The following is a 16,974-nucleotide window of genomic DNA, read 5'->3' on the forward strand; positions in this document are numbered from 1 at the left end:
ACCTGGGAAGATTCACTATTTCTGTACTAGAACTCATTCCTAAACAGCAAGTACATTCAAAAGAACTTTGTTTATGTAGGCTTGGGCATAACTTTGTTGTTGTTTGGTGCTTTTTGGGTGACATTTCCCTAGAAAAATAGGCAGTATTCCAGTGTCCCTTTCCCAACCTGTACTAAAAGTTTCAGAGAGAGATATAAACACAATGCATTCTATGTAGACAAAATATGGTGAGTTGCCTCTGACCACACAGGTAACGGCAACATTTAAGTAAAAGGGGGCTTTAGGAGCTAGAATTGGAAAATGCCTAGGAATGGATATCTCCTTTCAATTTTAGCAGTTAAGTTTCATGGCCCTCATAGTGATAAATATTATCAAGACCCATTTAATTCTGCAAATCTCAAGAATTCTATGAAACACCCCCCATCCCTGTATATTTAAGAAAAGTTATGAAGTCGGTGTAGTCCATATTAACCTTTTAGAGCCCTCAGTACTTTATTTCAAGGCTTGCTTTAAACAGCCTTTCTTTAAGATGCTATAGAACTAAGTACTTCATCTTGGCAGCAATTTTAGCAATGCAATTTTATATTCATGCATGTATTGACTTAAATTAGACATTGAGTATCCTTAATCCAAAAATCTGAAATATGAAAGGCTCCAAAATCCAAATCAATTTGAGTGCTGGCGTGACACTCAAATACAATGCTCACTGGAGCACTTCAGATTTTGGATTAGGGAGGCTCAACTGCTAAGTATGGTAATATACTACTTACAAATATATTGCAAATATTCTAAAATCTGAAACAATCTGAAATTCAAAACATTTCTGGTCTAAAGCATGTCAGATTTGCGATACACAATCTATATATCTATCTCTCTCACCTCAATAAAGGAGGCCAGGGATATTGTATATTGCTATTCACTATTAGATCTTTAGAGCTTATTACGATACCTGGTAAAAGATTAGTGTTCAATAACAATTTAATGAACAAATACATTCCTGAGTGAATGAATGAATGAACAATTAGCTCAATCCTAATGTTCCCTGACTCCAAGCTGCCAAGAGTCAGGTTATGTTATCCTCTCCTGAACTGACCCAATGTATTGATTGTCGATATGCTGACAAGGTATTAATAATTTAGCAATGACACAGTTAGGTTAATTTTCATTTGCCAGAGGGAGGGAGGAAAAGAGGAAAGCAGAGAAAGAAGGGAGGGAAAAACAGAGGGAAGGAGGAAGGAGAAGGACAGAGAGAAGGATAAAGAGAGAGATGAGGGGAGAGCTGAGATGGGAAAGATGAGAGAGGAAGACAGATGGGAGAAAGAGAATGAGAGTGAATGAATGCCTAGGGTATGATTAAAGTAAAGGAATGGATGAATAAGGCAGAATGAGAAGCATCAATTGGAGAACCAGTAGTTTAAGGAATGGGATCCTAAATTCACTTCAATATGTTTAGTTAGTAGACAACCTATTTACAACAATAAAGCCTGGATATCATGTATATTATTAATATAACACCATATCTAATTCTCTGTAGCAATGATTTGTTAACAGTCTAAATATGAATAAGCCCCAATTTTCCATAAGGCCAGGCTATTTCTTGCTTTTTAGACTAAGGGGTTTTAGAATAAGGGTCTGTTAATCTGGTCCCTCCAAAATCAGTGTCTTTTCTAAGTAAGAAGTCAGCTATCTTCCAAATCAGCACAGAGCCACTGTACCACTAAGTGACTGAATGATCTTGAACAAATCACCTTACCTCCTTGATTTTGATTCCCTATAGTTGTAAAGACGGAAATATTAATATTGACCTTATTTAACAAGGTGATTGTGAATTGAAGTGAGATACGTAAAGCCTAAAGAATTATCATGTTAATTTTTAAATATTTGAGTCAAAATTATAATTTAATAACAGAAAAACACTTGGGTGTTGCCTGCATAATTAGGCATCCATTCTTTAAAATAAAGAGGCCTTGTTTACTTATCTGAGAGGGTTGTGGAAGGCTCAAATGAAATAATATCCATGAAAGTCCTTCACCTACCTACAACTGTGATTATTTGATATCCCAGAATAATTTTCCCACAAAAAAATGCTCTTATGTTCTCTCTGGCAGCATATATACCAAAACTGGAACAAAACATACTTTCACCACAGAAATTCATGAGTGGTACATAGCAACGTGCTTATTTCAGCATATTCTTACATCAACAATGTGAAATTACAAAAGAATTTGAACTTTGTGAAACATTATTATGCTTTCTAAATTGTAGCCGTAAGTTTAGAAAAAGCAACATGCAATGCTATCTTAAAAATATTTACATAAAGTTAATAATTGAAATCCTATGGACTAATTTCATTAACTAGTTCTATAAGGCAAAAACATAATTTGAAAATAATGATGATTTGAAATACAAGTATGCAATCAGTTTCTTCAAAAATACATGTAATTTAATTACCCTGGAAGCTATCTTTTAAATTGGGCAAAAATATCCACAATGTGTCACAAATGCCATATTTCTGCTCACAGCAATGATTTAGTCATGCTGCTTGCCAGAGCTAAAACTCCTCATAAAGGCTAAGAGTACCCTCACAACAGTCCAGTTACTCATTATTTAGAATTCTGGATATAAAATTGTCAACTTCCAGTTATTTAGTGGGATAAAGATTTAGTGAAATAAAGTATGGAAACATTGCAAAGAAGTGACAGAGACTCAAAATGTTCTTCTACCTCAAACCACCTCCCTATGTGACCTCCAAAATGGAGATGCGTTATAAAATCACCATTTTAGCCCACCCAATAGGGCAGCTGACTGAATCATCAATGTGGAAGCTAAAATCATGGCCTAGGAAAGCAAGCACATTGCAAAACAAGTCAGCACAGTAAACAGAATTCTCACACACACACACACACACACACACACACACACTCACAATCTTGCTCATCAGATGGCCTTCAGCAAAAAATATACTTTAGAGACTGAAAATAGTCCCTTGAAACAACAACAGAAAACATTCTATAAAACCTTACTCTATGAATGTTTTAACTAATCTGAAAGACCACATTTATTTTGCAATTACAAAGATAGAAAGTTTATGAGAGGCAAAGACAGGACAACTTGTGACACTCTGCCACCTCCACCTATTTTCCAAAGTCTGTTGTAACTGTTTGCACCAATTCCATATTTTAAATGCCTGAAATAGCCCTCGGTCTCCTTCCAGGCTGTTAGCATATTCCTTTTATTGCCAGATTATTTCTTCCCTAAATATCTCTCGCGAAGAGTTAGAGAGTTAGAGATGAGACTAAGAGGGTGGCAGCATAACTGAGAAAAGATGCTGTCAATGCTTCCCTCAACCAAATTTAGTTGGGCTAGCAGAACCTTTGCAGGGCCTGTGGTCTGGACATGAGCCAGGACTGGAGGCCTCTGCGTAAGAACCTTAAAGCAGAGTCCAGTCTAGCTGGATTCTCAGAACGACTTACAGCTCTCAATTTCCAAGGTGCAGTTTTGTTCATCCAGTGGGTACCTCCTTAGGTCCATCATGCAGGCAGCTGTGGTTGTGATTCTAGAAGACAAATAGCAATGATGAGTGTTGTTAGCAGGTCTAAGGCTGGAGCTGGAAATTTAAATCTAAGTATCAAAGAAGAGACTGTGATTTACCCTAAGTACTAATGAAAATGACTGATGCAACTTTGGATAACCATATTCCTTTATGAATCTCACACTGATTCAGAAGATAGAGACTGGACTAAATCTGCATTTCCCAAAGTATGGTCCATTATCTACTTGTATCAAAATAATCTGAGAGGGTTTCTTCAAAAGGCACTTCTCATGCCTCCAGCATGTGTTGGGGAGAGGTGGAGTGGTGCCAAGACTCTATTTCACAAGCATCACTGCTGACTGAGAATGTGGGCAAAGAATATTCCCATTTCTCTCACATTTATTTTCTTCTCCTTTCCTCAAGATCAGAAACATGTAATCTATCAATCTTAGTTTTGATCCATCATTTTTCACCTTTCTATACATAGTATAGTATTTTGCAGTGCTTTAATATAACACACAATCAGCCATTTATCTATACCTGATTTTGGTATTTTATCTATACCTGATTTCTGTCCTGAGTAATCTGATGTTTTCATGATCCCCTAGACAATATACTCCTATGGGATGGCATAGTTATATATTTAGAACACTTAGTACCTTTATTATGTTACCACTAATAAATAAATACGTTCCTTCAATTTGTCTTTATATTTGTCATGATTTTTTACTAATCTTTCTATTGACCTTCTAGAAGCCAAAAAATATATACATTTAGAGTTTATATATATATATATATGAGTTATCAAGGTATGTTTTCTGATTAATGAGGCATCATAGGATCATGAAAGAACACAAGTTTTAAAACATTCCAAATGTAGGTATGAGTTCCATTTTTTAGTAAAAACTCCAACAGAGTACTTGGCACATAGTAGACCCTTTAAAAATTTCCATCTGCTGAGGGAAATTAAAAGTAGAAACTAACGTTGAATCTGATCAACTTTAGCTTACTGTAGTGTGAGGGGCACTATACTATGTGTTGGGAACACAGAAGTAAGATATAGCTCCAGCTTGGGAGAAACGATCTATAGCTAGACATTTTTATTTAAAAAGTCTTGGACAAAATCTAAACCGTAACCCAGGTAGACTGAGCCTATGGAATTCCTGAGTCAGGTGTGGGAGTCTCACTCCTCAGGTGCAGAATGGAAACATGTGATTAACTTGAAGTAAGTCATTCTTGGCTCTTTTGTTTGATTTCTGTTACATTAAGGTTTGTGCTCTGTTAATTCTGTAAGTCTCCTAGAGCTGACATTTGTCCCAATTCCTTCATTTCTTTCCCCAAGTCCTGTTGGCTCTGCTGCACCGATTCCTTACCATCTCCACTGCCTCCCCTCTGAGTCTACATCCCCGATGCCTTACATCCAAATCACTGCAGGAGCTTGGTCTCCCAGCCACTCTATTCACTGCCCCACTAAACATTATCCACACAACCGTCAGATCTTTTAAAAACATAAATTAGATCTTTTCACTCCTCTGCCTAACATTTTCAATGGCTCTTCCAAGATGAGCCAGAGTCCTGGCTATAGCCAGTATCTGGAGTACTCTAGTCCTTTCCTTCCTTCCCAGTATCATCTCACTCCATGTCCTCAATCAATATCTTTCGGCCTTCTTACTTGTTCTCTCTGCCTAGAACACGTGTCTCCCTGATCTTTATAGAGCCCTTGCTCCTGATCCCTCAGTTAAAAATGACCTTTTCTGAGAGTCCCTTTCCAAGCAGCCCACCCAAAGTGGTTGCCTTAACTAATGCTCCATCTTATCTTTCTGTTTATTTCCTTCAAGCAGTCACCAAAATCTGAAATTATTTTGCTTATTTATGGCTTGTCTGTTTTTAGAGACAGGTTCTTTCTTTGTTGTCCAGGCTGGAATGCATTGGCACAATCTCAGCTCACTGCAGCCTCAACCTCCTGGTCTCAAGCAATCCTCTCACATCCTCCCAGAGTGCTGGGATTACAGACATGAGCCACTGCACTCCCTTATTTATGTTTTATAAGAATCTGTCTTCCAATAAAGTTTAAGCTGTTTAAGGGCACAGACTTTGTTCTATTTGCTGTTAAGGAACTCAATAAGTATATGATGGATGAATAAATAAATAAATTTATAAAGATGCCAGGAGTTGGTTTTGCTCATTGTAAGTCTTTCTATTAATATTTGGAAGATTATTTTATTACATTATTTCTCTTTTTTTAATTTAAAATTAGAATGTGTCTTAGGTTGTAGAGGTTCTTTTTATATTTTAACAATAGATACATTTTAATTAATTTAATTAAGATTACATAAATAGTACCAGAGTTTATCTTATCAACTTCATTGTTTATGTTTTCAATGGGATTTACCAAATTCTTATATTCTATAAATTCTATTAAAAGTTACATTCGCATTTTATTGTTCACTCAAGGTCAAAAAATTATAACTTATTTTGGCTCTGTGACACTTGGCTAAATTTCTCACTGGTCCACTGATGTTTTTTGTTTTTTAGTTTGGTTTTACATGTACATTCTGAATTGCCAGTAATATACAGAGATCTTTACTATAGAGAGCAGGCATTTTCAACAGAAATAAAATTAGGTACATGATGGGCATATTAAACACCAATGCTATTTATGTAAAATGGCAGAAATAATCCTGTCTTGAGAAACTAGAGAAAATTAACCTCATCTGATAGAATGAACACAAAAGATATGAAAGTTACAAGGACAAGGGCATATATACAATTAAAAAAAGAGAGAGAGCCAAGTATAGAAGCCTTGATTGTGTTAATGAGTGAAGTTTGCAATTGCTACTAGAGATTGTGGCTCACACTTTCTGCTGATACATGTTCACGGCAACTAGCATCCGTGAACTGGTGCTGGAAACACCAAGAAAAATATGTTGGCTAATGCTACTGCAGGAGCAATGAGTTCTACTCATGTTTTAAAAATAAATTAGAAGAAAGTGTTTTCCTCACAAACACATTCCTATTTAGTCCAGCATTTTACTGTTGTTTTAATGATATAATACACTTCATAAAGCTAAAAGACATTTATAATGTCTTCTAGTCAATATTTACAAAGCATTTGTAAGTGTCTTCTATTGGATTAGAACAGAAACTTTGGAGCCAAAATAGTCCACTTGGAGTCCTGATCATATGGTCGATGATGAGTAACAGACAAGTCATTGTATTCTCTGACACTTAGTTGCCTCATCCTGAAAATTTCAATGAAAACTTGCCACCTTACTTTGCTGTGATATAACAAAAGTAGGAATGTTTTTAACTCATAAACTGTTATGCAACTTTTTTTATAGTTATTACTACCTGCTAACGTGTAGATACTGTGATAACTCATTTTACTAGAAGTTATTTGGCAGTATGAGTACATGTTTATATACATAAAGACATGTGGAATACCCATACACTTACATTATAAACAAGGCAGAGATATCAAGATGGATGTAAATAGCTTCCCAACACATAAATATGCAAAATAAATAATTACTCCCTACATATACATGGAATTCTATGCAACAAAATATAGATATACAACAAACTTGCATCTTTCCAGGTGTGTTATGAGATCAGGAGCCACATCTGTTCTGTCATACTTATATCTCAAGCCCTTTGATAAGTACCTGGCACATGCTACCAACCCCAAATAAAAAATATTAATTATTATTATAATAATAAAACAAATATAACAATAAATAAAACAAAGGGAGGGATCAATAAACATAAGCATCCCAAAGCTAAGGATTTTGATGCAATTATCTATATTTAGTAAGTGCCTTATTTAACTCATGTAAAAACTCTCAAATATATTTGGAAGTTAAAATATAGAAGAAGCTGTCCTGGAATTAATCTATTCCAAAAAGCTCAGGAATAAACATCTAAATCTGTTGTTTGAGACTTTTTGATTTATAACAGAGCTGTTTCTACAGGAAGAAGTCAATACAATAAACACAGTTAATGAGCTTTTCATGAACATGTCTTTCTGAGTCATGACAAACATGCTTAATGGACCTTAAATAACTCAACGCCACTACTAGGTGTCTTTGAAGTGAGGCTAGTACATCATTATGCAGGTATCCTGATTAATTTTTAAGACCATTGTGAAACAGCTCTGTCTTCAATCAAAGGAAAGAGTCAATGATGCCTCAAGAATGTGTCTTATTTATCCGTAGTAAGTCGTCTATAGTTAAAAGTGGAAATGTGCCTTCTGTAGGGTAAATTCTATTGTATGATGAAGACCACCCTTGGGAAACATCAATATTCTCACTGGACTAAGAGATATTTGGGTAAATGTTTTACTACTTAGCCATTGGGAAATATTATCCAAAAATGAATTGTATCGTAAAATATTAACACAGAGCAAGAAAACAAATACATAGCACAGCCTAAACAGTCACTCAAGGCACCTATAAAATCAAGAAATGCAACAAGTAAGCCAGGATTTTGTACCAAAGCCATACGAAATATTTTATAGTGTCATTACCTGAGATTTATTGATGCTAACATAGTATTCCAAGTTTGGGTTTTTTGTTTGTTTGCTTTTGTTTTTTGTTTTGAGATGGAGTTTTGCTCTTTTGCCCAGGCTGGAATAAAGTGATGCTATCTCAGCTCACTGCAACCTCCACCCACTGGGTTCAAGGGATTCTCCTGCCTCAGCCTCCCTAGTAGCTGGGATTATAGGCAACTGCCACCACACCCAGCTAATTTTTGTATTTTTAGTAGAGATGGGGTTTCGCTATGTTGGCCAACCTGGTCTCAAACTCCTGACCTCAGGTGATCCACTTGCCCCAGCCTCCCAAAGTGCTAGGATTACAGGCGTGATCCACCGCACCCGGCCCCAAGTTTGTTTTTGTTTTGTTTTGTTTTGTTTTGTTTTGTTTTGAGACTGGGTCTCACTCTGTCATCCATGCTGGAGGGCAGTGGAATGATCTCAGCTCACTGCAACCTCCACTCCCCAGGTTCAAGCAATCCTCCTACCTGAGCCTTGTAAGTAGCTGGAACTACAGGTGTGTACCACCATACTTGGCTAACTTTTTAAATTTTTTGTAGAGACAAGGTCTCACTATATTGTCCAGGCAGGTCTTGAATTCCTGTGCTCAAGGAATCCTCTCATCTCGGCCTCCCTAAGTGTTGAGATTGCAGAGATGAGCCACCATGCCCAGCCAGCATTCCAAGTTTGGATATGACATCTGGATCCAAGTTTGATAATGACCAAAGATAGCCATTAATCAATAACAAATGACTTTGCCAGCCAATACGAAAACCTCAGAATCATAATCAAGGTGACATAACTTGGGCCTTTCAGTAGACTCCTTAAGAGGGGCTTCAGGACTAGAATATATGTTCAAACATGTGACTAAACATGTGAGAATCTTGTTAGGATTTTAACCAGAAATTATAAGAAAGTGACTTTGAACTTCTACCTTGTTTGATTTCTTTATATAAGCAACCATCCAATTATTCCACGAGAAAAAAAAAAATTAAACATCTTTGAATGTTTAAAAAAATTAGATGCCTTGGCTGAGGCAGGAGAATGGCGTGAACCCGGGAGGCGGAGCTTGCGGTGAGCCGAGATCGCGCCGCTGCACTCCAGCCTGGGCGGCAGAGCCAGACTCCGTCTCAAAAAAAAAAAAAAAAAAAAAAAAAAAAATTAGATGCCTTAACCCTAACTATATTCAAAACATATTGTTGTAATACACAGCATGCTTTTACTTTGCTCAAAATGTGCATTTACATAAAAGCACAATTTATTCTAATTACAAAGAATAAAGACATTCTCCAGCATTAGTGGGCATCAGTTACTAAAGAAAAATTAACATGTTAAAAAGGCCAATTATAAAAAATATATTGATATATATTTTTGCAAACTACAAAGCAAACTAATATAAAAACTTCAGCTAGTGGGGGGAAAGATCTAATTGCTGAATTTAAGCATTAGAGTATGAACTAAACTTCTGAAAATTCTACAGAGCTCACCTGAGTCTTTTCCTCCAACGTCACTTCAAAAAATTCTTACTTTCAAATTCTCCAAGAAGACTTGATGTTATTCTGTGTCTCACAACCATTTTAGTTAGAAAATGGAAATAATATCTTACTTATATTTCCCTTATAATATGCTCTTATGTTTTGTAGAACAGGTAAAACATTGCTTGTAGGAGTTAGGTGACTTTCACTTTGGCACTCTCACTAATAACTAACATATTAATTGATCACTTACTATGTTCACGACACTAGTGTCACTGACATATATAATCTCATTTAATGTGAGTTAAGTCATATTGTTATTCCCATTTTATACATGAGAAAATTGAGGCACAGAAAAGTAGAGTGATTTTCCCCAAGAGTCACACGGTGAGTGGTAGAGCTGGAATATGAATTTTGGATGTTTGACTCCAGAGACCACATTTTTAACTAGAATGTGGTAGCTAACTTCCTAGTTGAACTTGGTAAAGTCATTTAGCTTCTCTGGAGGATTGATCAATTTCTTATATACCAAATGAGCTTAGAAATTCTATAATCCCATGAAAATACATTACATGTTCTGTGACCTTGTATATTTTGTAATTTTGTTTTACCCACACATTCAAATGCTGTATTTCACAGCTGTTCATTCTGTTTTAGTCAATTATGTAGATTAGCCCACCCCAGACAAGCAAATACAGGCCTCTCCCCAAGGAGTCCCACTTAATATTTTTCCCTGATTGAAGGTCTCCCTCAGCATTCCTCGCCATTCTATCCTCTTGATTTACCTCCACAGAGGCCTTCTGCTCAGATTAAAATCTCCAAGACTCATGCATAAATGTTTTTAAAAGCTCTTTAAAAGTCCTCATAGTCATATGCACTACTACGCTCAACTTTGTAATCACCAAAAAAAGTAAGATTGCTAGCAATCATGTTCCCATTTGATAAATCATGCATTTCAGATTAGAGCTATTTGTACTCTTCTGCAGCTGTTTGGCCTTCTGTGACTCTTTCATTTTCTGGAATCTTATCCTCTGCAAAGAAACTGTGACCATTAAAGGGCTACACAGGTTTCTGCCACAAATTCAGGCACTATTATGAAGACATTCCCTTAAATAGCATCCTGTGGAATCAAAGCAGCACTATGCAACAAAAATCTCATTTTTGTGAGCATATAAATACTACTCAATTGAAAATATTAATAGATATAGATACATCAGCCTCAGTCATTATTCTTCTTCTGTTGTTAGTTCTTTGATGACCAACCTTTCTCATATTACATTCCTGGCGGTCTCATCTATAGGTACTTTGTTTATCTCAGAGGTGAGAATATACTGTCTTCTAAGTTATGTCTTAGAGGAAGTCTGCATCCCTGAAAAAGGGTAATCATTCTCTTTTTTAAATTGTAACCACTGAAATCTGGACTCCTATCTCCCACCATATACAAAAATTAACTCAAAATGGATTAAGTAGTTAAATATAAGACCCAAAGCTATAAAAATCCCAGAAGTAAACGTAAGAAAAACTCTTCTTGACCCTTGATCTAGGCAAATAATTTATAGACTAAGACTTCAAAAGCAAATGCAACATAAACAAAAATAGACAAATGGGATTTAATTAAACCAAAGGGCTTCTGCACAGCAAAAGAAATAATCAACAACAGACAACCTATAGAATGGGAGAAAATGTTTGCAAACTAGGCATCTGACAACGACTAATATCCAGAATCTACAAGGAACTCAAACAATGGAACAAGAAAAAAAATAACATCATTAAAAAGTGGGCAAAAGATATTAACAGAGATTTCTGGCCAAGTGCTATGGCTCACACCTATAATCCCAGCACTTTGGGATGCCGAGGAGGGCAGATTGCTTGAGCCCATGAGTTCGAGACCAGCGGGGGAAGCATGGCAAAATCCTGTCTCTACAGAAAATACAGAAATTAGCTGGGCATGGTGGCATATGCCTGTGGTCCCAGCTACTCGGAAGGCTGAGATGGGAGGATCACCTGAGCCTTGGAGATCAAGGCTGCAGTGAGCCTTGGTTGAGACACTGCACTCCAGCCTGGGTGACAGAGCGAGACCCTGTGTCAAAAACAAACAAATAAACAAACTAACAAAAAAGATATTTCTCAAAATAAGCCATACAAGTGGTCCACAAACATATGAAAAAATGTTCAACATCACTAATCATCAGAGAAATGCATGTTAAAACCATAATAAGATACCATCTCATCCCAGTCGGAATGGCTATTATGAAAAAGTAAAAAATAGCAGATGTTGGCAAGGACATGGTGAAAAGGGAACACTTATACACTGTTGGTGGGAATGAAAATTAGTATAACCTTTATGAAAAACAGTATGGAGATTTCTCAAAGAACTAAAAATAGAGCTACCAACCAACCAAGCAATCCAACTACTGGGTATCTAACCAAAGGAAAATAAACCGCTACGCCAAAAGGATAACTGCTCTTATATGTTTATCTCAGCACTATTCACAATAGCAAAGTCATGGAATCAACCTACGTGTCCATCAACAAATGACTGGATAAGGAAAATGTGGTATATATACACTGTAGAATGCTATGCATTAATGAAAAAGAATGAAATCTTGTCTTTGCAGCAACACAGATGGGGCTGAAGGCCATTATCCTGAGTGAAATAATTCAGAAACAGAAAGGTAAATACGGCATGTTCCTCACTTGTAAGTGGGAGCTAAAAAATGTGTACACATGTACCTACAAAGGAAAGCAACACACACTGGGGACTGCAAAAGGCAGGGAGGTAGGAGGGCAGTGAGGGTTGACAAATTACCTACAAAGTTCAGCGTTCACTATTTGGGTAATGGGTACCCTAGAAGCCCAAGCCTCACCATTATGCAATATATCCACATAAGAAACCTGATCATGTAACCTCTGAATCTATAAAAATAAAAATAAATAAAAATTTAAAATGATCATGATAAGAAATATAGTTGAACCAGAGTCTCTTACAGACTAGAAAGCCACTCTCTGTTTCAAAAGTGATTAATTTTTTTCTCAATGTAAAACAAATGCCTCAATATGCCAGATACTTTTTATTGCATTCATTAAAATATCTCTCTAATATTTTATTTTGATTTGTGACACATCAGAGTCATACCATTTCAGAACAAGTTTATCAGTTTTATCCCAGTCTTTTAATTTTTTTAACAAATGCAAAAAAAAAATGTGGCTTGAAGATGTTGATGTACAACTAGCCAGTGACAGACCAAGTGACAGCCTCAGCTGGGTCTCTTTTCACTTATTCCAAATATTATTTTTCACCCTTGCAAATATTATTTTAAAATGTGAGCTACACATGTTGGGTGTCTTCCCTTCCTTTTCAGTTCCACAATCTACCTTTAACCACCAAGTTGTGTATCCCTAAAGAGTAGACAGTTTGGACTTCCGAAACAGGCTCCCTGGGCTTCAGGGCAGATGTGGCCAATGGGGAGTAGAGCAGGAGTCTGGGCTTGGAGGAGCGGGAGACCAGGGAAATTGTCTCCCTCTGCAAAACGTGTGGCCAGGTTGCCCTGTCTTGCTTCTGTAAGACCTGTGGCCAGGTTCCCTTGTCTGTCCCCTCCTTTTCTCCTTCAGAAATGGAAGGCTGCAGAGCGGGTGGCAACCTGGGGATTCTATCTCTGGGAGGGAGGGAGTGCTGCTCTTCTTTTTGTAAATAGTCTTTTCATTGCACTCTCCTCAAATTACCCCATTTTCAGTGTGCCATCTGCTGCCTGTCAGGTCTCTGACTGATAGAATACATTGCAGAAGTGTACTTAAAATCTGAGGTTCTTCTAGCTAGGCTGTCCATCAAAAAATTAGAACTCTTCCATTCCTGGGTCCTTTGTGTTGGGATTTTGGGGTTAAGGGAATGAAAGTTCCTACCACCTTAAATGAACTTCCTCCTTTCTATCATTTTGATGTCAGCTCATCATAACCCACCTAAGGAGCCTTCTCCCACCACCCAACTAAAGCAGCCCTCCTTCCCTCACCATTGGCCACTGCCTCATCCCCAGTTTTATTTTCTTCATGATATTTGTCACCATCTGAAACTGTCCTGTGTGTGTATTTGCTTAATTGCTATTTTCTAGGCACTTTAGTGCATTCAGCTCTGTCTAGTGTTGGGTTTTCCAGAAGCAGACCCTGAAGGACATTTATTAAGGACCACCACCTGTGAAAGAAAGGAAGCTGTGGGGTTGAACAAAGACGGCAAACTGTGCTACATGATGCAAGCTCCATGGAGCCTCAGCAACCCAGCAGGGGAGATCTGGCAGGAGTGTTGCCATTAGAGCGACCCCCAGATAACTGAAATGACTTTTATATCCTCTCTTTCCCACCGCCACATGTTTACACACCTTCCTGGGACACGCAGCATCAGTAGATGGAGGAAAAAATATGTGCAATTACTTTTTTTCTCTCTCTCATGGTAAGGCACTTGCTGAAAGTTCAGTGGGCAACATATTCTGTGGCTGACTCAATGACTCAATCTCTAACATGCCCCCACACATATTTTCACTGCAGTACATGGTTGCAACTGCATGGAAAATATGTGTGAGAGCTTGTTAGAGGGTCCTTTGGTGTCGGCTTCAGGAGAACCCAACATCAGACAGACCCCTCAATCCACTATGGGGCCCAGAAAATAGCAATTAAACAAATACATCCACAGGATATTTTCAGATGGTGACAAATATCATGAAGAAAACAAAACGAGTCAGTGACCAATGGTCAGGGAGGAAAGCCTGTTTTAACTGGGTGGTGGAGAAGGCTTCTTAGGTGAGCTATGATGAGCTGAAATTTTCTATAACATAAAATAAAATAAATATTTCTTTTATATAAAATAGGCAGTAAATATGTGGAAAAATTCTTAGCAGCATTAGAAACCACAAATATGTATTAGAAATAAAACTTAAGCCATGACAATTATTGCTTATCTAATCAGCAAAAATTAAAGGAATTATAATATCTGGTACTACAAATTCTGGAGGGAAATAGATCCTCTTGCACATACTGGCAGGAGGACTGTAAATTGGCACAAACTTTCTGGAGGGTAATTAGACAATATTTATCAAAATCCACCAAATGTGCAAACATGTGTTCCTAAAAATTCTACTCTAATAAATTAATGTGAATTTATACAAAACTGTATGCCAGGATGTTAAACACAACTTTATTTATAGTTGGGCAAAAAATCTCAGAAATATTCTAGGTAAGTACTATATAGGTATATATGTATATATAGCTAATATATAAGTAGATTTAAATGAATTTTGATTCATTCCATATACATACTATATAGATGTAAATGTATATATAGCTAATATGTAAGGATGTTTAAATGAATTTTGATCCAGTCACATGATATAATAAAAAACACTTTAAGAAGAGTGAGGACATAGGAAAGTTTTATTAATAAGTGAAAGTTAAAATAGCATACAGGAAATCAAGTTGTATAGTATGATTTCACATTTATTTAAAAAGGTTTATTAAGTGTACAAATGACTAAAATTATACTAAAATAGGCAGTGCAAATATAGTTGATTTTTGTTTTCTTATATTTTCTACAGTTTCACTGTTTCTATGGTGAATATGCATTTTTCCCTCTAAAAAATGTTATTAAGAGAATTTTCCCTAAGTTTGCACTAAGGGCATTCCTTGTCAATAACTTACTCTATTTGCATTAGCTTATGTTCTCTACATGAGATATGGAATATGCATGGGATACTAACATTCCATGGGTTGTAAATGATCAGCATAACTATATCAAATGTAGGCGCTTCCATAAACTGCATGTGCCATTTAAATGTTGGTGGAAATATCATCATTTAATTACAGGTTTTCAAAGTAGAAAAGATGATAAAATGATGTCTATACAAATATCTTTCTAATGATTGAATTCCATCCATAAGATCTCTATAATTATTGTTCTAATGAATCTCTTTAGTGCTTTGGAACTCATTCTCTCTGAAAGGGAACTATTCCATCTTTGAAAAGCTATGATTACCAGGAAGTTTTTTCTATATTTAACAGTTTCAATTCAGTTTTTTAATTGTAAATTATTTATTCATGTATTTGCAGGTTGTTTTTGTGTGTGTGTGTCTGAGGGGTGTTTCTCTTTTGCTTAGTGATGCATTCTAGTTTTTGATATTTTGTTGTGATAAAAGTTATCAATCATTTACATTGTTATTTCTTAAACTGTTTTGTGTTGGGAAAAATCCCTCTTCATCTTGAGAGAAGAAAGATTTCGAGATAGGCATACCTCCTTTTATTGTGCTTTGCTTTATTGCACCTTGCAGACATTGTGTTCTTTACAAATTGAAATTTTGTGGTAACCATGTGTCAAGCAAGTCTATTTGTTCCCATTTTCTTCCAAATCATGTGCTCACTTCCTGTCTCTGTGTCAAATTTTGGTAATTCTTACAATATTTCAAACTTTTCAATTTTTATTATGTCTGTCACAGTCATCTGTGATCAGTGCTTTTTGACATTACTATTGTAATTGTTTTGGGGAGCCACGAAGCATGTCCATATAAGACAGTGAACTTAATAGAATGTTTGTTTTATGACCAGCCATACCTATCTCTCTCTCTCTCCTCAGGCCTTCCTATTCCCTGAGACACAACAATATTGAAATTAGGTCAATTAATAATTCTACAATGGCCTCTAGGTGTTCTAGTGAAAGAAAGATTTCCATGTGTACTTTAAAGTAAAAGCTAGAAATGATTACTCTTAGTAAGAAAGGCTGAAAACTAGGCCTCTTGTGCCACAAAGCCATGTTATGAACGCAAAACAAAAGTTCCTGAAGGAAATTTAAAGTTCTATGCCAGTGAACACATGAATGATAAGAAAGCATAACAACATTATCGCTGATGTGGAGAAAGTTTTAGTGCTCTGGATGGAAGATCAAATCATCCACATTAAGGGAATCAGCTTAAATTCCCTTAAGCTGAAGCCTAATCCAGAGAAAAGCTCTAAATCTCTTTAATTCCATGAAGGCTATGAGAGGTGAGGAAGCTGCAGAAGGCAAGTTGGAAGCTAGCAGAGGTTGGTTCATGAAGTTTAAGGAAAGAAGGCATCTCCATAACATAAAAGTGCAAGGTGAAGTTCAAATGCTGATGGAGAAAAGCTGTAGAAAATTATCCAGAAGATGTAGCTAAGGTAATCAATGAAGGTGGCTACTCCACACAACGGAGTTTAAGTGTAGACAAAACAGCCTTCCACTGGAAGAAGATGCTATCTAGGACTTTCATAGCTAGAGAGGAGAAGTCAATTCCTCGATTCAAAGCTTGAAAGGACAGGCTGACCTTCTTGTTAAGGGCAGGTGACTCTTGTTAATGCAGGTGGTGACTTTAAGTTGAATGTAGGGCTCACTTACCATTCCCAAAATCATAAGGCCCTTAAAAGTTATGCTAAATCTGCTTTGC

The 16,974-nt window shown here is 36.5% G+C and overlaps 1 protein-coding gene across 3 annotated transcripts in view; it reads right to left on the bottom strand.

The window, feature by feature from the left end:
• Positions 1–16,974, bottom strand: part of GABRB2 (gamma-aminobutyric acid type A receptor subunit beta2) — a 259,969-nt gene that overhangs the window by 119,066 nt on the left and 123,929 nt on the right. For all 3 annotated transcript variants that reach the window (NM_000813.3, NM_021911.3, NM_001371727.1), the window contains one exon: positions 3,474–3,556. In NM_000813.3, the coding sequence (NP_000804.1) occupies positions 3,474–3,556 (83 nt within the window). The remainder of the gene's footprint in view (positions 1–3,473; positions 3,557–16,974) is intronic.

Source organism: Homo sapiens, chromosome 5 (genome assembly GCF_000001405.40).
Source record: "Homo sapiens chromosome 5, GRCh38.p14 Primary Assembly".
NCBI lineage: Eukaryota > Metazoa > Chordata > Mammalia > Primates > Hominidae > Homo > Homo sapiens.